The sequence below is a fragment of the Homo sapiens genome, chromosome 17 (assembly GCF_000001405.40).
Source record: "Homo sapiens chromosome 17, GRCh38.p14 Primary Assembly".
NCBI lineage: Eukaryota > Metazoa > Chordata > Mammalia > Primates > Hominidae > Homo > Homo sapiens.
The window spans coordinates 59,602,662-59,622,273 of NC_000017.11; the positions used below are offsets into that span (position 1 = coordinate 59,602,662).

The 19,612-nt window shown below is 40.0% G+C and overlaps 2 protein-coding genes across 8 annotated transcripts in view, besides 7 other annotated features; both read left to right on the forward strand.

The window, feature by feature from the left end:
• Nucleotides 1-5,684, forward strand: part of DHX40 (DEAH-box helicase 40) — a 42,736-nt gene extending 37,052 nt beyond the window's left edge. For all 6 annotated transcript variants that reach the window (NM_024612.5, XM_006722083.4, XM_011525253.4 and 3 more), the window contains 3 exons: nt 2,454-2,523; nt 2,785-3,013; nt 4,372-5,684. In NM_024612.5, the coding sequence (NP_078888.4) occupies nt 2,454-2,523; nt 2,785-3,013; nt 4,372-4,511 (439 nt within the window). In that variant the 3' untranslated portion in view covers nt 4,512-5,684. The remainder of the gene's footprint in view (nt 1-2,453; nt 2,524-2,784; nt 3,014-4,371) is intronic.
• Nucleotides 15,668-16,480: an enhancer, noted in NCBI's record as "NANOG-H3K27ac-H3K4me1 hESC enhancer chr17:57695690-57696502 (GRCh37/hg19 assembly coordinates)". NCBI's record gives its function as "activates a minimal SCP1, AML or CMV promoter by ChIP-STARR-seq in naive H9 embryonic stem cells {active_cell/tissue: H9 hESC(naive)}" and the evidence as "EXISTENCE:reporter gene assay evidence [ECO:0000049][PMID:30033119]".
• Nucleotides 15,668-16,497: a biological region, named in NCBI's record as "NANOG-H3K27ac-H3K4me1 hESC enhancer GRCh37_chr17:57695690-57696502".
• Nucleotides 16,318-16,367: an enhancer, noted in NCBI's record as "active region_12510". NCBI's record gives its function as "activates an Ori minimal core promoter by ATAC-STARR-seq in GM12878 lymphoblastoid cells {active_cell/tissue: GM12878}" and the evidence as "EXISTENCE:reporter gene assay evidence [ECO:0000049][PMID:35858748]".
• Nucleotides 16,378-16,497: an enhancer, noted in NCBI's record as "active region_12511". NCBI's record gives its function as "activates an Ori minimal core promoter by ATAC-STARR-seq in GM12878 lymphoblastoid cells {active_cell/tissue: GM12878}" and the evidence as "EXISTENCE:reporter gene assay evidence [ECO:0000049][PMID:35858748]".
• Nucleotides 16,948-17,297: an enhancer, noted in NCBI's record as "active region_12512". NCBI's record gives its function as "activates an Ori minimal core promoter by ATAC-STARR-seq in GM12878 lymphoblastoid cells {active_cell/tissue: GM12878}" and the evidence as "EXISTENCE:reporter gene assay evidence [ECO:0000049][PMID:35858748]".
• Nucleotides 16,948-17,321: a biological region, named in NCBI's record as "Sharpr-MPRA regulatory region 22".
• Nucleotides 17,027-17,321: an enhancer, noted in NCBI's record as "tiled region #22; HepG2 Activating DNase unmatched - State 1:Tss, and K562 Activating non-DNase unmatched - State 1:Tss". NCBI's record gives its function as "activates a minimal TATA promoter and a strong SV40 promoter by Sharpr-MPRA in HepG2 and K562 cells {active_cell/tissue: HepG2 | K562}" and the evidence as "EXISTENCE:reporter gene assay evidence [ECO:0000049][PMID:27701403]".
• The window catches only part of CLTC (clathrin heavy chain), a 77,062-nt gene continuing 74,683 nt past the window's right edge, over nt 17,234-19,612 (forward strand). For both annotated transcript variants that reach the window (NM_001288653.2, NM_004859.4), the window contains exon 1: nt 17,234-17,512. In NM_001288653.2, the coding sequence (NP_001275582.1) occupies nt 17,471-17,512 (42 nt within the window). In that variant the 5' untranslated portion in view covers nt 17,234-17,470. The remainder of the gene's footprint in view (nt 17,513-19,612) is intronic.

Below are 19,612 nucleotides of genomic sequence, written 5' to 3' on the forward strand. Positions count from 1 at the left end.
TTTGACTATAATATTGGACTATTTAATATTAAACATTGAAGATTTGATTTAAGCTCTGTGATGATTATGACATGAATTACAGTGACGAGGGAGAGCTACAGTGACGAGGGAGAGCTGCAGTGGCTCAGAATGTGGTATTAGAGCTCAAGTAGGGTAGGAGGGGTATGTTTGTAGGGTGGCTGTCCAGCATGGGTTATCTTCACTTAAGGCAAGTAACAAGAGTTTTCTTTCAGAGAGGTGGCCCTGTGTATAGTGTGAAAGCCAAGTAGGTTGAGCATAGCATCCCTGAGGAAGGGTAGCTTGGCATGGAGTGCTAGGGCTTGAGCAAGGTGGGGAGGGGTTATTTGGTTTGGGGCATCAGTCAGAGTGTAGTGAGGAAGGCATCTTTATAGAGAAAGGGGTAACAGTGATGGTGATGGAGATTCATTAAATACAGAGGAATTGAACACATAACTCTGTGAGTGATAATGGTGAAGGGAGTTAGAAATAGCGAAAGTGAGAAAATAGGAATGATCTCTGTGCTGTTGGATTGAAATTTCAGTGTATCATGATGAAGTTATGGGTTTCATTATAGATGGATGCATGGATGGACACTGGAATAAAAATAGATGTTAGTGTGTGTATATAGAATGTATTTGTATGTATGTAAATATTTATATGTATATATGCCCTAGCTCTGAGATAATAACAATGAATAGACATAGTGCCCAGATCTTGACTTGGGACATCCATCTGCCACTTAAAGGAGTCAGGGGTCTTTGGAGAAATGGGGCTGGGAAAATGCAAGATGAGCCCAGAATATCTTATTTTGCCAGCAAGTAAAGAAGTGATTAACAAAGGTTGAGGCCACGTCAGAAGAACATAGGAGCCAGCATGAAGAGGCCCCAAGTAATCAAATATGAGACACTTTAAGCATCAAAATAAGTAGTGATAGTAGCGGATTATTATGCACTTAATAAAATGTGAAATCGTGTCTATCGTGGTATAAATAAATGAGTAAAAGTTTATTGAGAAATGGAATTGTTTACAAGCACCTCTCCATAAAATTTTTGTTAATTACAAAAGCAAAAAGTAACTTTACAGTGGAGAATCCTGGCATATGTGACCTAAATCAAGCAATCAAAGTGAACATAATGAAATAAATAAAAATCATGTTCTTCCTGATAGGATACAATGAGAAAAACACAGCATTATGTCTGTGATATTCCTGCTAAAGATGCATAACCTGAATCTAATCATCCTGAAACAGACAAACTCAAACTGAGGGACATACCACACAGTAACTAGCCTTGACATCTTTAAAGGTGCCAAGATCATGAAAGTCAAAGACTGAGGAAGTATTCCAGAATGAAGGAGACCAAAGGGAAATGAAAAATAAAGGCAATGTATGATTCTGAATTACATCCTTTTGCTATAAAGGATATTATTAAGACAAATTGGTGAAATGTCAGTGGGGTCTGAGGATTAATTGTTAGTAATGTATCAGTGTTAATTTCCTGGTTTTGATGGTTATAGTCATGTCGGAGAATGTTCTTGATTGTTGATTGTAAGAAGTGCACAGTCGAGTATTTGAGGATGATGGGGTATTAGGTTGGCAGTTTGCTGTCAAATGATTCAGGTAAAAATTTTTTTACTCTCAACTTTTCTGTAAATTTAGATTGTTTCACACTTTTAAAAATATGGTATATCTTGGTTACCCTCTGTATGCCAAACACTGGGCAGGTACTAAAAATAGAAAAGTAGAGTAACATGAGTCCTTACATCATTCTTGATGATACCTGAGTCTAATGGAGGGTACAGATATGTAAGTGAATAATTACAGTGCAGTCTGATCTGGGTTATACTATGAATATATACAAAGTACTATAGGAAATAAATTATGACAAATGAACTAGGTTTATTTTTTTGACAAGTTTTTTGGAATGACATTTAGGTAGGGTAATGTAGAAGAAAATAAGGGCATGAATCGGAAAAATGATAGATTAATTGTCAAGTTTTAGAGTAGTGAAAAAATCATCCCTTTAAAAAGAGATGCAGCATAGTATAACATAAAGAAACCATATTTAAGTCAGAAGAACTGTTTAGGACTTGGTTTTACCATGCGTTAGCGCTGGTGATCTTGAGAAGTCTAGCTAATTTATTTGAATTTTAGTTTTGACTTTTTAATAAAGTTCCTGGCTCTCAAAGCTCATAGATTATTGTTAATATTTGTACTGATTCCTTATACCTAATTGTAGTGACTTATACCTAATTGTAGTGACTGTTTAACCTGTATAATTAATTTAAGATGAATTGGTAGAGAGCTTGTAGTGACAGTTGAATAAATGTAAACCTCTGCTTATAATGCTGTTTGTAGTAGAACATATTGTAATTGTTCATTGCTGAATGTAATGCTCCATTTACTTCATTGCTTTACTGTTGTAGTCTTTATCATTTTGTTTTTCTGTTTATAGATCTGTTGGGAGAACGTTTTGCACAATGGATGGTCGTGGAAGCCCAGTTCACATTCATCCTTCCTCAGCAGTAAGTACTTCATTTTTAATAAAGGGAAGAAATTTGTAAAGTTGTAGAAATAAGTAATATACAAATGTCTTCTACTTTTCACTTTGGAGTTAAATTTACATATATCTATATTACATAGATCTATAAGGGTATTGGTTGGCCTGTGCCTCCTGTTTGAAGAAGATAGGAATTAATTGAGAAGGATTTGGACTATTTGGTTGGTTTAATGTGGAATAGGGCAGGTTATTGAGTTACCATCATTAAAAGAAATGTTTTGTATAGCTTCATGAACAGGAAACCAAACTTGAATGGATCATTTTTCATGAGGTATTGGTTACCACCAAAGTCTACGCAAGAATTGTATGCCCAATCCGTTATGAATGGGTAAGAGACTTGTTACCCAAGTTGCATGAATTTAATGCACATGATTTGAGCAGTGTGGCCCGACGTGAAGTGAGAGAAGATGCAAGAAGGAGATGGACAAATAAGGAAAATGTAAAGCAGCTAAAGGGTGAGTAAATCATTTGTTCTACTCTTAACCACTATGCCATACTGCTTCCCAGTAGTACTTCACTATTTTTGTTTATAAAAATGTTGTGACCCACCTGGGCAATGTGGTGAGATCCCATCTCTAGCAAAATAAAAATAAAAATTAGCCAGGCATGTTGGTGTGCACCTGTAGTCCCAGTGACTTGGGAGGCTGATGCAGGAGGATCGCTTGAACCCAGGAGTTTGAGGCTGCAGTGAACTGTGATTTCACCAGTGCACTCCAGCCTGGGGGTGACAGAGTGAGACACTATCTCTAAAAAAAAAAAAGTGATGATTTATGCATTATTAACTCAGAATCCCCTTTGTTTCCAAGGGGCTTTTTCTTTCTTTCTTTCTTTTTCTTTCTTCTTTGAGACGGAGTTTTGCTCTTATTGCCCAGGCTGGAGTGTAATGGTGTGATTTTGGCTCACTGCAGCCTCTGCCTCCCGGTTCAAGCTATTCTCCTGCCTCAGCCTCCTGAGTAGCTGGATTACAGGCATGCACCACCACGCCTGGCTAAGTTTGTATATCCAAGGGGCTTTTTCTATGAAATAATTAGGACCCTGGTTGGGAGGCATAAATAGTTGTGGTACTGAAATAGGACAGAAAGTTTTTCAGCTCACATACACAGAAAACTTCTTAGTAAAGCTTTTTGAGGCTGAATGATGAAGCATATTGTATTTTCTTTATTTGACATCACTGCAAAATGGAATGGTGAAGAGTTTTGCCGAATAAATCATAGAAAAATCTTTAGAAATGTTAGCCACTAGGGAGGCCAGGCATGGTGGCTCACGCCTGTAATCCCAGCACTTTGGGAGACCAAGGCGGGCGGATCACGAGGTCAGGAGATCGAGACCATCCTGGCTAACACGGTGAAACCCCGTCTCTACTAAATATACAAAAAACTAGCTGGGTGTGGTGGCGGGCGCCTGTAGTCCCAGCTACTCGGGAGGCTGAGGCAGGAGAATGGCGTGAACCCAGGAGGCAGAGCTTGCAGTGAGCCGAGATTGCGCCACTGCACTCCAGCCTGGGCGACAGAGTGAGACTCCGTCTCAAAAAAAAAAAAAAAAAGAAAAGAAATCTTAGCCACTAGGTGTTCTATTACAGTGTAATAACACTGCCACATGCTTGAATTAGGGTCAGTTTTTCTGACTCATTGGCCTTGGTGCTCTTAATTTTGTAACCATAGACTACATTGCTTTTGAAAGGGCAAAATTTAATTTTTCTCTTTATTGTTTTTACTTTGTTAACACTGAAAAATCAGGGCTTCTCTTTCTCTTAACATTTCTAGTACTGAATCTCAAAGCTAAGTTTTATTGGATTAATTTGTAATGTTTTCAGATGGAATATCGAAAGACGTCTTAAAGAAAATGCAAAGAAGAAATGATGACAAATCCATATCTGATGCACGGGCTCGTTTCCTTGAGAGAAAGCAGCAGAGGACCCAGGACCACAGTGACACACGAAAGGAAACAGGCTAAGGTGGTGAACCCTCCAATTCAGGAAGTGGGAAAAGGAGCCAGGAAATGTGCTTCTACTTTGCCAGTTATTTCAGACAGCACTACCAAGAGGAGGTGGTCAGCACTTGTTATTGGCCTATGAACTAAAAGCAAATCAAAGCTCATAAATCAAAGCTCATCAGTTCCCATAAATGCAGTTGTCAAAGAAAAGATTTGGTTGCCATAGTCATAAGCAATGATACATGAAACCAATGAAAGACAGTACATGTAATAATATTTTCCTCAGTACAATTTTGCTGGCCTTAACTGGTATCAAACGCTGTCATTGAGATGTTTTCAAAGAACATTGAGTTGTATTTAATCAGCGTGTACTCCATTTGCATTGAAGCATTAAAAATTATTTTTCTTAAAATCTCTTTAAGGCCTTCTTGTTGCTGTTAGAATAGTGCTATATATCAGGTATGTGACCATTTATTTCAGAAGGCTGAACATAAGAGGTTTCTACTCAGCAATACTTAGATGTCTAACTGTTTAATTGCTACAGAGCTTTATAGATATTTAGAGAAAAGACTTAATCAATTAGTAAATAAAATTGCCTATGGCAGGATTCTTTCTTGAATTAATATTAATCCTTAAATTGATTTTTCTGGGATTATACAAATTCCTTTTTATATAAAAGTATATTGTTTAAAACAGTAGCTATAGCCATTAACCAAAGGACAGATGATATATATATATATGATATATATATATATATAAGTTCTTTTTTAGCTGTACCTACGTACTTATATCAGCACCATGTATGTAGGTGTGATAGTACTTTCAAACAGCGCCTCCACCTGGCCTACTCTGTTATTTCCACCTGTTTGGGTAGGGCCATTTAACTTCCATTATGCCAAACTTGGGATGGGATTTTCGAAGCAGACAACACTATTTCATCGTGTTTCAAATTGGAACCTTGAGGCTAGTTAGTATCACACTCAGGCCACACTCAGCACTTGCCCACTCTTGTTTACTGCCTTGTATTCTAGTTATTTGTGTATTTGTCTCCCTCACTAGATTATACGCTCCTTGTGGGCAGGGACTGTGTCTTTTTTCATCTTTGTATCTTTCATGCACCTAGCATAGTGCTTTGCACATAGTAGTCACTCAGTGTTTGTTAAATAAAGCTATTAGTGTCATTAAAATTCAAAAGACAGTATAATGTGTGTTTTTAGATATTTTGTGTAAAAATTAAGAATCTAAATTTTTTATCGGTAACTCTTCTAGTTATTTCCTTTGGAATCTAGTTTTATGTTCAATAATAGAAACTTGAAATCTTTATCAAAAATCACAAGGACCCAAATTCATGTATTTGTCCCTAAAGTAAGGTGAGTGATGATGGTTTCTCTAAACCTTTCCAGTGTTTTAATTTGTTAATTTTTTTTTTTTTTTTTTTGAGACGGAGTCTCACTTTGTCGCCCAGGCTGGAGTACGGTGGCATGATCTTGGCTCACTGCAAGCTCCGCCTCCCAGGTTCACGCCATTCTCCTGCCTCAGCCTCCCGAGTAGCTGGGACTACAGGCATCCACCACTATGCCTGGCTAATTTTTTGTATTTTTTAGTAGAGACGGGGTTTCACCGTGTTAGCCAGGATGGTCTTGATCTCCTGACCTCATGATGCGCCCGCCTCTGCCTCCCAGAGTGCTGGGATTACAGGCGTGAGTCACCGCGCCTGGCCTAATTTGTTCATTTTTATCTTTAGTGCTCTAGACACTGTTATTAGCACATATTAATCATTTAGTTCTGTCAGTTTCTCTTCTCAGGTGTATTGTATAAGGGCATATCCTCAGATGTGGTGGGAGTGTGTGGATTCTTGGAATGAGAGCTCTTCTAGTTTAGTAAATATTAAGCATATATTCTGAATCTACACCTCACACTCAAATTATATCTGTTGTTTCAGTAATGTCCTTTATGGCATTTTTCTGTAGTTCAAGATTTAGTCTAGGATCACGTATTGTATTTAGTCTCTTAATCTGGAAAAAGTCCTCAGTCCTTGTCTTTCACAACATTAACATTTTAAAATAATATAAGCTAGTTATTTTATAGAATGTTCTCAATTTGGGTTTCTCCAATGTTTCTTCATGGTTATGCATTTTTAACTGGAATACTGCATAAGTAATAGTGTCATGGTATCACGTCTGGAGGTACATGGCATTTTCCCCTTGCTGGTGTTATTAATGTTAATTACTTATTAGGGTGCTTTTTAAATTATATCAACCTGGTTATCCTTATAATTCATAAATAATTTGAGGGAGAGATACTTTGACATTATATAAAATATCTCGTTCCTCATAAAATATGACATTTTGTATTTACCATCAATTGATGATTCTTGCCTGAATCCATTTTATTCTTATGGCTGCAAAATGGTGATTTTTTTTTCTAATTCTTTTCTATATTTGTTGGTATTATATTGTAAGGAAGAGTTTTCCTTGAAGGATGAATGTCTGATAAACGGGTGGGTGCTAAGAAGAGCATGGATCAAGACAGAGAAGTATTTATAGAAAGCCCAGGGGGTGTTTGAGATGGTGGCAAACAGTTGAGTTTACTTGGTGCATAGAATATATATAGGAGAGTAGGTGGCTCAAACTGTTAAGGTCAGATTACAGAAGGCTTTGTAAACCAATCTATAGAATTTGGAATTATTTTATGGATTTGTTAGAAGGGAAGGACATCATTACAGTTTTGGGATAATTGTGATAGTGTTATTGATAAAAAATTTCTGTATCTCAGTTTGCATTGAGAGGACTGTGAGAGCAGTAGTATCAAGGGAATGCTGGATCTAGTTAAGGCAAGAACATGGAAGCAGCCTTGCAGGAAAGGTGGGTTTTATGGAGGAGTTTGTTCTTAGAAGAATGGGAATACACCTTCAAGTTACTAAATGAAACAAAACAGAATCAAAAACAAATTTTTTTTTGAGACGGAGTTTTGCTCTTGTTGCCCAGGCTGGAGTACAATGGTGCGATCTCGGCTCACCACAACCTCGGCCTGCCGGGTTCAAGCAGTTCTCCTGCCTCGGCCTCCCGAGTAGCTGGGATTACAGGTGCGTACCACCACGCCTGGCTAATTTTTTTGTGTTTTTAGTAGAGACGGGGTTTCACCAGGCTGGTCTTGAACTCCTGACCTCGTGATCTGCCCACCTCGGCCTCCCAAAGTGTTGGGATTACAGACATGAGCCACTGCATCCAGCTGACAAATGTTATAATAGAAAAATGGGCAAAGGACATGGTCGGTCCTTTTATAAAAGGGGAAACAGGAGGAAGGGTCAGTAAATAAAAGACAATGAACCTAACTTGTAATTAGGGAGACGGCATTCATTTCCATCAGATTAGCAATAATTAATACTCCTGAAAAGTGTTGGTGGTGAAGAATAAATTGCTTTTATTTAATTAATTAATTTTTCATACAGTTCTGTTGCCCAGGCTGGAGTACAGCATGATCATGGCTCACTACTTCTTTGATCTAGGCTCAAGCAGTCCTCCCACCTTAGTCTCCTGAGTAGCTGAGAGTACAGGTGTGTGCCAACACACCCGACTGGTTGTTTTAAAATTCATTTTTTGTATATATGGGGTGTCACTATGTTGCTTAGGCTGGGTCTCGAACTCCTGGGCTCAAATGATCCTCTTGCCTTGGCCTACCAAAATCCTGGGATTACAGACGTGAGCCACCATGCCCAGGCCAGCTCTTATTTTAGAGAACATTTTGGCAATATCTAGTAAAGTTGAAGCTGTGTACAACCTGATACCTAGTAAGTCCACCTCTAGACGTAGGTGGTCTTTGACTAGCGTATCACATCTGGAGGTACATGGCATTTGCCGCTTATTGGTGATACTAGTTTTGTTTACTTAGGGTGGACCCAGTAAGTCCACATTTAGACTTAGGGGTTTCTCTAGACTAGGAACTCTCAGACTATATACAATATTCTGTGCCTCATAAAATTGGACTCCTATAGATTTAGCGTTAATTGCTGATGATAAATACATTAAAAATGTTAAATACAGCATTCATTACAATGTGAAATACACCATTGTTGCTAATAGAAATCTGAAAACAGCACATATATATATAGCTATATCAGTAGGGAAAAGGTTTAATAAATTGTGATATGTTCTTACTGTTGAATCCTACAGCAGTGAAAGTGATTTCTGAGATTCCTGATGTGTACTCCTATTTAGCAGAACAGATGAACCAGTTCATATTCCAACCAGCAATATATGAAAATGCCAGTCTTACTACACCTCATAGTTCCTCAGTCTTCTAATTATTGACAAAAAGGTGCCTCATTATCTTAATTTACATATTTAGATATTTAATGCTTTTTCCATGTGTTCAAACTGTAGGGAATAATAAAATTATCTGATTTGAATTTGATAAGCCAGATAGTAAATATTTTAGGCTTTCTGGACATGTAATTTCTGTTGCAGCTACTCTGATGTTGTAGTATGAAAGCAACAACAGACAGTACATGAATGAATATCACTTTGTTCCAATAAAACTATGGAGAATGAAATTCAAATTTCACATGTCAGCAAATACAGTCAGCCCCCTGTATCTGGGGGCTCAGTATCTGGGGTTCCACAACCACAGATTCAACCAACCACAGATTTCAAATATTCCAAAGAAAATCCAATAAAAATAATACAATAATGAAAGATAAAGAAAAAAAGAGTATAACAACTATTTACATTGTATTAGATATTATAAATAATCTAGATATGATGTAAAGTATGCAGGAAAATGTGCATATATGCAGACACTACCCATTTTATATGAGAAACTTCAGCATCAACCAGATTTTGGTATCCTCAGGGGGAAGTCCTGGAACCAAACCCCAGCTGATACTAAGGAATGACTGGATTATTGTTTTGATTTCAGGTTTTTTTTCTTTGAGATGGAGTCTTACTCTGTCGCCCAGGCTGGAGCGCAGTGGCATGATCTCGGCTCACTGCAACCTCCGCCTCCCAGGTTCAAATGATTCTCCCGCCTCAGTGTCCTGAGTAGCTGGGATTACAGGCACGTGCCACCACACCCAGCTAATTTTTGTATTTTTAGTAGAGATGGGGTTTCCCATGTTGGCCAGGCTGGTCTCAAACTTCTGACCTCAAGTGATCCGCCTGCCTTGGCCTCCCAAAGTGCTGGGATTACAGGTGTGAGCCACCACGCCCACCAGTTTCAGTTTTTTACCACTTGTATTTGAATCTAGAAAAGCTACTTTTTAATATTCCCATTCTAACTTAAATGATCACTTCATTTGCAAGAAGAGGTCTTAATGAAATGTCAGATTTTTCTGGCTTTTACTTTTTCTTCATAGCAGAGTTGATGAGACTAAACATAATATCAAGGAATCAATAAATTTAAATAGTAATCTTTAATCACCCAAAGATTTTTAAAGTAATCCTTATTACTTGTTAGCTGTTCCTTTAAACTTAATACATGAATAATACAAAATTCCCTTGTGAAGCTGTTAAAGATTTTTCAAAGAAAATGATTAGTCACAGCTGGGCATGGTAGCTCACACCTGTAATCCCAGCACTTTGGGAGGCCGAGGTGGGCGGATCACGAGGTCAGGAGCTCCAGACCAGCCTGGCCAACATGGTGAAACCCCGTCTCTACTAAAGATACAAAAAATTAACTGAGTGCAGTGGTACGTGCCTGTAATCCTAGCTACTCAGGAGGCTGGGGCAGGAGAATCGCTTGAACCCATGAGGTGGAGGTTGCAGTGAGCCGAGATCGCACCACTGCACTCCAGCTTGGGCAACGGAGCAAGACTCTGTCTCAGAAAAAAACGACAATGATTAGTCACATTCTTTGTCCAGATAAAATCCACATATTTTTCCCACCTATTAATATTATTACTTGGTTCTCAGCTAAAATACAGGAAATGAGATGAGTGAACCCAAAATACAGCCTAGCACCCAGTTTGGTGCTTTGTATATGGGAGGTATTTATAAATGATTGTGCCAACTCCAGATGCGATTACTAACAACATAAAGTAGCCTAGGCTTCAAATTAAATGGGTCATGTAATCAATAAATGCTTTAATAGCTGGAGAAGTAAGGTAAATTGAATTTTTTTTTTTTTTTGAGACAGAGCCTCACTCTGTTGCCCAAGCTGGAGTGCAATGACGCCATCTTGGCTCACTGCAACTTCCGCCTCCCCGGTTCAAGCAATTCTCCTGGCTTAGCCTCCTGAGTAGCTGGGACTACAGGCGCCCGCCATCACACCCAGCTAATTTTTGTATTTTTAGCAGAGGCGGGGTTTCACCGTGTTGGCCAGGATGGTCTTGAACTCCTGACCTCAAGTGATCCACCCACCTCGGCTTCCCAAAGTGCTGGGATTATAGGCGTGAGGCACCGTGCCTTGCCGATAAATGGATTTTAAGCTGAGTCTTTGAGGGAAGAGTAGGACCTGCACTGAAACAAAAAGACAATTTGTGGGGTTGGGGAGAGGAACCAGATGTAAACAATGGAAAGGTTTTGGTGTCACTTTGAGAAGGATTTTTTGGAAGGGTTTTGCAATGTCCATTCTGTATCTTGGGTTAACACTAGTAAGTCAAATGGAGAATAATTTGAGTGTCACTCATTCCTACAGATAGAAAAATTTTAAAGTAGCTTGGGCCGGGATTTTCCTTTTATCATGTGCCATTGTGTACGTGTCTGCTACTTCATTTAGTTCCTTTTTTAAAAATGGAATTTTTATCACTTCTGTGCAAAGGTTAAATTTTTTTAATAAATTAATAATGGAATGTTTAAGCCTTCCTCAGTAATGAGTATAATCTTATCTCTCCATCTGATCTGATGGGTCAACTATATAGTAACTAAAATAGACTGTAACAGCTGTCTTCATCATTAGTTTTTATTTTCACCATGCATGTAGAATGCTTTATATTGTAGTCCCTTATTATCTGAGGTTTCATTTTCTGATGTTTCAGTTACCTGTGTTCAACTATGTCCAAAAATAGGTAACTACAATGATATTTTGAGAGACCACATTCACATATAACTTTTATTATAGTACATTGTTATAATTGTCCTATTTTCATTGTTAATATCGTACTGTGCCTAATTTATAAGTTAAACTTTATCATAGGTATATATGTATAGAAAAAACATAGTGTATACTGTATGGGGTTCAGTATTAGCTGTGGTTTCAGGCATCCTCTGTAGAGGTCTTGGAATATATCCCTTGTGGATAATGGAGGACTACATATTTGACTGGTTGGTGGAGTTAACCTAAGGAGACCTTTTCATGACTCTTTAAACTTTTAGGTTTAAAGGTTGACTCGGAAAAGAAAAACAATTTATATCAATAAATCTAAGGTAGGCTTATATGAATGCTGCATACTTTTCATCACTGCAGTGTTGTGGAATGAAAAGTAATTGTATGGATTTTATACTATACAACATTAAACTCATAGTTATTTGGAATATGAGCAACCAGGAAAAGAAAATAACCAGGTATTTTGTTTGATTTACATAGTAATCTACTTTTAGTAGTCATGACAGGATGAGGTATGGCATTTTAAAAAAAGTAATTCCTAGTATTGCCTAGGTTTGGTACTACTCAGATTAGGTTACATTTGCAGGAGTACTATACAACAACTGTTCACTTTGATGAATCTGAGGCCTTTAAGGTTCAGAACTGCTTTCCCTATATCAATTTTTTTTTTTCAAAAAAGGCTTTACAAAATAATTTAACATTGAGTATTTAATTTTACATTGCAGGTACTGGAAAATATTTGTTGAAGAAATTAATTATTCCTTAAAACTTTATTATTGAGTTAACCAAAACTTTACCAAATCTCAGTCCTTAGCTATTCTGTTGCGAAGAAGTGAGAGTTTACTACCATTAACAAGGCTGCAGATGTACACTGCTACTGGCAGAACTATCCCTAGAGTGGCAAAACTCTACATTTCCCAAGGGAACATATCTGTGGGTCATGTTTTGCTTTGGAGACAGTAGTAACTCTAGGAGGTGAACACAGAACGTTCTACATATTTAGAAATAGAAAAAAGAAATAGCCCTTAACAATTAATCCCACACTCTCACCCTCATTACCTCTTCATTCTATAGATGCTCTCAAGCTTCTTGTGACTTTTGTTGCAAGATGTTGTGACATGGCATCTGACTCCCTATTGATCAGCAGGGTTAAAATCCTCCTGGGTTTTCCTATCCACAATGTTCTGTGAATTGCTATATTTAAACTAGCTTTTTTTTTTGAGACGGAATCTTGCTCTGTTCCCAGGCTGGAGTGCAGTGGCACACTGTAGAGTGGCAAATGAAGACATATTTATCTGATCCTCTGATATGAAATCCCCTATTAATAAACACCTTTCTTAAAAGTGCTATATAAAAGTATGCTTATAATAGGAATGTTTCCTTTAATTTGTCTAGAATTGAAAGGGAAATAGGCAGGGGGGTTCAAAAAACAAAAGGGAAATTGAAGGCATCCAGAAACTTATTTTATTTTTGAGACCGAGTCTCGCTCTGTCACCCAGGCTGGAGTGCAATGGTGTGATCTCGGCTCACTGCAACCTCCACCTCCCAAGTTCAAGCGATTCTCCTGCCTCAGCCTCCCAAGTAGCTGGGATGACAGGCACCTGCCACGGTGCCTGGCTAATTTTTGTATATTTAGTAGAGGTGGGATTTCACCATGTTGGCCAGGCTGGTCTCAAACTCCTGACCTCAGGTAATCCGCCCGCCTCGGCCTCCCAAAGTGCTGGGATTACAGGCTGAGCCACCATGTCCTGCCTAAACCAACTTTTGTGAAATGGCTTTTTAAGGTAATGTCATGAACCACTTCATTCCTCTGCCAGGGTCTTATTTAACCCTTCAAAAACATGGGTGGGCCCTATATAATGTGACTTCATTCTACATTGGATCCCCACAAAGCTAGTCTTGGCTTTTCACTTGGAACATGCCCAATGCTGATACAAAGTAAAGATTCACTATAGATCTTATTGCTATCCATCGTACGTTATAAAACTTGTCTAAATATTTAAAGGTTTAAAACAAGCCTGCGCAGTGGATGTCAAGAGTAAAGTACGTTTCATAGTAAAATTAAAATGCCATTAAAATTTTGTTCTTGTGGGGCTGGGTGTGGTGGCTCATGCCTGTAATCCCAGCACTTGAGGAGGCTGAGGCAGGCAGATCACCTGAGGTCAGGAGTTCAAGACCAGCCTACCCAACATGGTGAAACCCCTGTCTCTACTAAAAATACAAAAATAAGCCAGGCATGGTGGCTGGTGCCTGTAATCCCAGCTCCTCGGGAGGCTGAGGCAGGAGAATTGCCTGAACCCAGGAGGCGGAGGTTGTGGTGGGCCGAGATCACACCATTGCAGTCTGGCCTGGGCGACAAGAGCAAGACTCCGTCTCAAAAAAAAAAAATTGTTCTTGCTTTGTAAATGCTGCTTTCTTTTCTTCATTTTGGAGCGGGGAGCCTTGCCGATAGTCAGTGACTTGTACATTTGTTTACTGGCATTTGATAGGCTGCTCCTTATCTTGCATGAAAAAATAAAGACCTAGCCAGTCTAATCCTGCTGGGATTCATATCAGTGGCCCCAGGGGGTTGAGATGCTTCAAAGCTACTGTTTAAATGGCAAAACCAAGTATCTTACTTGGATAATACTAAAGTATGTCCTTTATGGCTTTATTGGAATCTGAATTGTAAACATTTGGTACAGTGGATTAAAGTTCTGCTTTAAAATTAATTTCTGAGTATGTGAGATATGCCTTTTCTTTGTGACTTTTGCAGTGCAGTGAATTCAGGCTGTTTTTAAAAGGTCAAGTTTTTAAAAGGCAGGGGCATTAGTGCTAGGGCTGCTTGAAGATGAACAGCTAATGGAGAAATCCTACAGTGAAAGGGGTTGTTTTTTTTTTTGTTTTTTGTTTGTGTTTTGAGGTGTCATTCTATTGAGTGTTTATATATATATATATATATATATATATATATATGTATATATCTCCATCCTAATTGTTGGCATAACATTAAAATTAGTGACACAACACAGGTTTCTTGTATAGGTTTTCAGAAACTAGCAGTCCTCAAAATAACAGACCAAGCAATGTAGTTTTTGCTAATGGCACTTGCTGTGACTCATGATAGTCTACTGTTGATGAGCATTCCAACTAAAATAGCTTTCACTTCACCATTGATTAACATGGCTACCTTGCTAAAACATTTTCTGAAACCAAAAGCTAGAGTGATCATTCATAGCATTGTCTTATTAAAAGACTATGTCATACTGTATCGTAGAAAAAGCCATTCTGGGTAGTAGGATTTGCTTCCTGGTCTATTAGGTTATCTGTTCTCCCTTCTAACTTGAGGTAATGTCTGAAAACAGTGCCATTCAGGTATTGCTTAGGTAACTAAACCAGTGAAACCAGTGAAACTGCCTTTATACTGTTACCAAGAACAGCAGACTCCCATTAAAAAAAAAAAAAAACTCTTATTACCCTACTCAAATTATTCATCTTTAAAAAGGCATAGGGTTTTTTTTTAATGTTTATCATCTTGACTTTTTTTTTCTCTTGAAAATTTTTGGATTAATTTGAAGATCATTTCAAAATGACCCAGGATATCACGATCTATTTTTCCTCTTCCTAAATTATTTCTCAAAACAGTGTAATTTCTATGTGTGATGACGTAGCAGTCACTAACAACCTCAGCGCACTTTTTGGTTAGATATTCCACTCCAAATAGCTAAAATCAACTGCTTTTGGGATTCTAAATGTACTTAAAGTTACAGGGTCTGTATGAAAATGCCAGACACTAATTAAATTTTGGTGGCCCATTCATGATACGGCTCTTTTATCTCCGGATTCTGAGATTGAAAAGGTGACTTGATCAAGCTATTGAATTACTGTAATAAAACAATTACTCCCTTAGAATTTTAATTTAGAATTTGTCTACTTCCAAAAAGGGTTTAAAGCAGTTATTACTAGACTGGCATTAGGTTATTTCAAATGTTGCGGAACAGAGGATCTTCGTGTATTTAGCTTAACAATACAAAAAGAAATTTTGCAAGCATAAATATTCACTCTTACAACATGGTGGCAAGGCTTTTCTTTGCAGAACAATCTTTGCCCTCTTACCTGCCAGACTCTTCTCTCATGCTCAGTATGTGAGACAGTTAAGTAAAGGGAAAAACACTAAAAGCAACTAAAATGATTGGCAAACTTCTCACTGTAACCTAAACTGCTTAGCATACAAAACTATCGTCTACCCAATAGGGTTTTATGTCCTTTAACTGAAAAGGACACTAAAAATAATTATTGTGGACTTGAGCTTTTCTCTTTCGGCGGGGCGGGGGGTGGGGGGGGAGAATCACCTCTCTTACAAAGATAAAAGGCACAGAACTAACGTCTTTCATCCTTTATTGTATTGGTGCGATTATGAAATATTATTATGGCTTATACTTTAGCAAGAAAGTACCAGAAAGGTTATTATTAATCGACAATGAATGCCGTTGATACCTTCATGCTCTTTGAAGACAGGATGCTCCGGCTTTGAAGCGCTACATTTCTACATTGCTAACCTACAGGAACCTATGTTGAGGTGGTCCCACCGAAATACACGGCTAATAGTTCATCTCTTTCCTCCAGGAACCTTCAGGTTTTTTTTTGTTTGTTTTTTTTTTGAGACGGAGTCTCGCTCTGTCGCCCAGGTTGGAGTGCAGTGGCGCGATGGAACCTTCGGGTTTTACTAAGCATCCTTACCCTAATTATCTAAATCTTTGAGACGTAAATTATTTGATGTGGCTAAAAATCCTCCTGCTAGAATTTAGGTCCAATCCTTTAATGTTCGGATACTCAAATTCTTTAACGAAACTGATCACTGAGCTAGGCCGACACAAGTCCGCCAAAATGTCCGCAGAAACGTTAAGAAAAGCTGTCATAAGGCCAGCTTGAAAGACATCATAAAAGGCCTTCGCTGTCCTTTGAGTTAATTATCTAACACCCGAAGAGAGTGCCAGTTCTAGTTAGAATCCGCGCGTCAGGTTCTCCAACAGTCAGAAGGGCTTGTGTGAGGGCAGGGAAGATTTTAAACCCCGTTTCAGGCCCCCTCCCTAGGCTGTAGGAAACCACCCACTCTGAAGCCCGGCGGGGGAGGAGTGCTGCAGCCAGCTGCCGAGGGAGCGCTCTGCGGCGAGGCCGTTTCCCTGAGTCACGGAGAGGGCGGGAGGCTGCGCCCGTCTGCCCCCGCCACGTCCTCCTGTGAGGGGCTCAGTCGAAACAGGCAGCGGTCGCAGGGAAACGAAGCGGCACCCGTCATGCCTCAAGGTGGCCCAAAAGCCTCTTCACTCCCAGGAGACGCCGCATTTCCTTAAAACGAGCTCTCCATTTCTGGCAGCAATCAGCCGACCCTTCCCCATCAGTATCACGTGCACCTGGAAGTACGTGGGTGGGACCTAAAGCGCCCACGGAAGTGACGTCGGTCGCCCCGAGTCGCATGATGTGGCAAAATGAAAAAAAAAAAGTGGGGGGAGAAAGAGAAGACTGGCGAAAGTGATGAGTCTAAAAAAGTAGTCCCTCCGGTTCCTCTGTTTCCCCCCATGTGGCGTCAGGAAGCGAGGCACCGGGCGCACTGCGCCCCGAATTCCTGCGCCCGCCGCGCGCGGCGCTCCGTGGAGGGGTACATAAGGCGGAGGGGGTGAGGCGACTGGGCGGAGTTCTGTCGCCGGGATCCTTCCGCTGGGCTCAGCCGTTTCCGGAGTCTGCGCTGCGCCCGGTTCCGCCATTGCGGCTCTCCTGGCCCCTGGAGCCTCCGCCCCCGACCCGAGCTCTTTCGTCTGCCTGCCAGTTTCCTGCGTCCCCGGAGAGGATCCTGCTGAGCCCAGCCTCCCCCCTCCCCTTCTCCTCCTCTCCCTTGGAGAGCCCGGGCAGCCACTGCCCCGCAGCCCCAGTGACAGGAGGAGACCATAACCCCCGACAGCGCCATGGCCCAGATTCTGCCAATTCGTTTTCAGGAGCATCTCCAGGTGCGGCCGGGCCCGGGCTGGTGAGGGCTGTGGAGAAGGTGGTAGGAAGGATGGAAGACGCTGGAGTCTGGGCCCGAGCAGTATCGGAGCTGGAGGGGCGGGGGGGTTGTCGGTGATTGGGGTAGGTGGAGGAGGGGGCACTATCTTGGAAAGCTTAAAATATTAAATGATGTGGGGCTTGGATGGAAAGGACAGGAGTTGGGGTGCAAAGAGCTGCAAGGACCAGGCCTGGATCCAAAGGCCTCTCGATCTTGCTTCCTGGATGGCCAGAACTGCGCGTACAAACTCTCTCCCCATTTTATTCATTTCATTCATTTGGGTAGGGGAGTGGGAGGGGGATTCTCCCTTGTTTCTACCAGAGCAAGGATTCTTATCCCCTGGGCCAGTGCGGGGCTGTCACCTTCCATTGCTCTCCTCTTTCCCTCATCGTGTCTGCACCCAGGAGTTGTGGGGCGGGTGGGTTGGGGAGGAGCAACCTTTTTTTTCCCTCCCTCTGCGGCTCTCAACTGAGAAAGGCACCTTCTCCGGTGGTGGGGGTTGGGGGTGGTGGTGAGGCGGTGGCTTTTCTCTTGCCTTCCCTGAGGCAGTAGGGACAGAAGGTCACTGAAAGAACGGAACGAGGGTAGAATGGGAGAACGCATTTCTTAGAGCTATGTCAATCTCAGAGTGTGTGCGGTCAAACTCCCTAAGGAAACTCGCCTCCCCTTCCCCCTTTTTTTATTTCTCTGGGGATGTTGTGGCTCTTAACCCCTCTTTGGTTCTGGAAGGTAGGAAAGAGTGATACAGAGGTTATCTTTTAGTCTTCTCGAGTAGTAGCAGGTAGTTTTGAATATCTTCTTCAGGATCGCATGGAATTGAACAGAGCCCTGGGGACAGCACAGCTGCTCTGAGACCTGCAGGGCTATTTGGTCTGTGACTGGCTTCCCTTTAGTAAGTTCTAGAGTTCTTCCCCATGGTTCCTTATCCTGGAGGCAACATATTGTTATCTGGCAACATGCCAGTGGCGGGCCTAGGCAGGTGACCATTGGAAGGCTTCACTGAATTAAACCTCTTCAGAGCTTTTGATTTTCCTGTGTCACCAATCCTGTTTTTTACTGTAGCTTAAATAATTTATTCCTATTAATTTGCTTTCTTCCCAAATATCCCCTTAAAGAAACCTGCCTCAGCTCAGTCGTCTGAAGGGCTAATTCCATAATGACAGGGAATGCAGTGGTTTGACATGACACTGATATCAGTGACCTATTAGACACTTTACCATTGAAGACCATTTTTATTTACATTTCCCCATTGGCATAGCATACATAAAGGATTCTTGTTAATAAAAGGTTTTAACATTCAGGCTATAAGTAACATAATTTCATATTTCTTTGCAAGTATTACCATGTTTGCACTAGCAAGGACTTATTTTCCTTTAAGGCTTGAAATGTAAAGAATAATAAATTTTTACCCATAAAATGAGTTAAATAATGCACTTTCCTCAGTCATCTATAATTTTCAAATAACTCATCTGAAGTAATGGAATATACCTTGGCAATAAAAACACTTTTACAGAGGGTTAAAAATGTTAAATAACAAAATGGACATTTTTTTTTGATCAATCCAAGTTTAGTTGCTGTGGTTGCTTTTGTTAAAGTGGGGTGGCAAATGAATGTGGAGAGTTGAGGGGTGCTGTTCTTAAGTGTGAGGGGAAAACGCGGGCTTATTTTCATATTAAACTGCATCTGAAATATCTTTCTGCAGACAAATGTTTATAAACCACACAGAGAATCAAGTACAGCTGCTCTTTATTTTCCACGGCAGATGTGTAGCTCACTACTAAATCTTGTGGTGGTTGGAGTAATAGCTTTTCATTTCTTTTAAAGAGGAGACAAGAATTGTTAAATGATCCCAAAGATTCGAACCCAACCTTGTCACTTATTAAAGACAAATTTAATACATGTCTGTTTTGTAACTGGATCAAAGTTTCTGCAGATGCTTGAATGAAGCCATTTTCTTCTCAAATAATTTGAAGATTTTGAATATAAAGCGATTTGCAAATTGAAAAATTCAGTCCTCTGTGTTTTGGATTGCTATGTCATGCCTAAACTTAAGCTTGCTTAG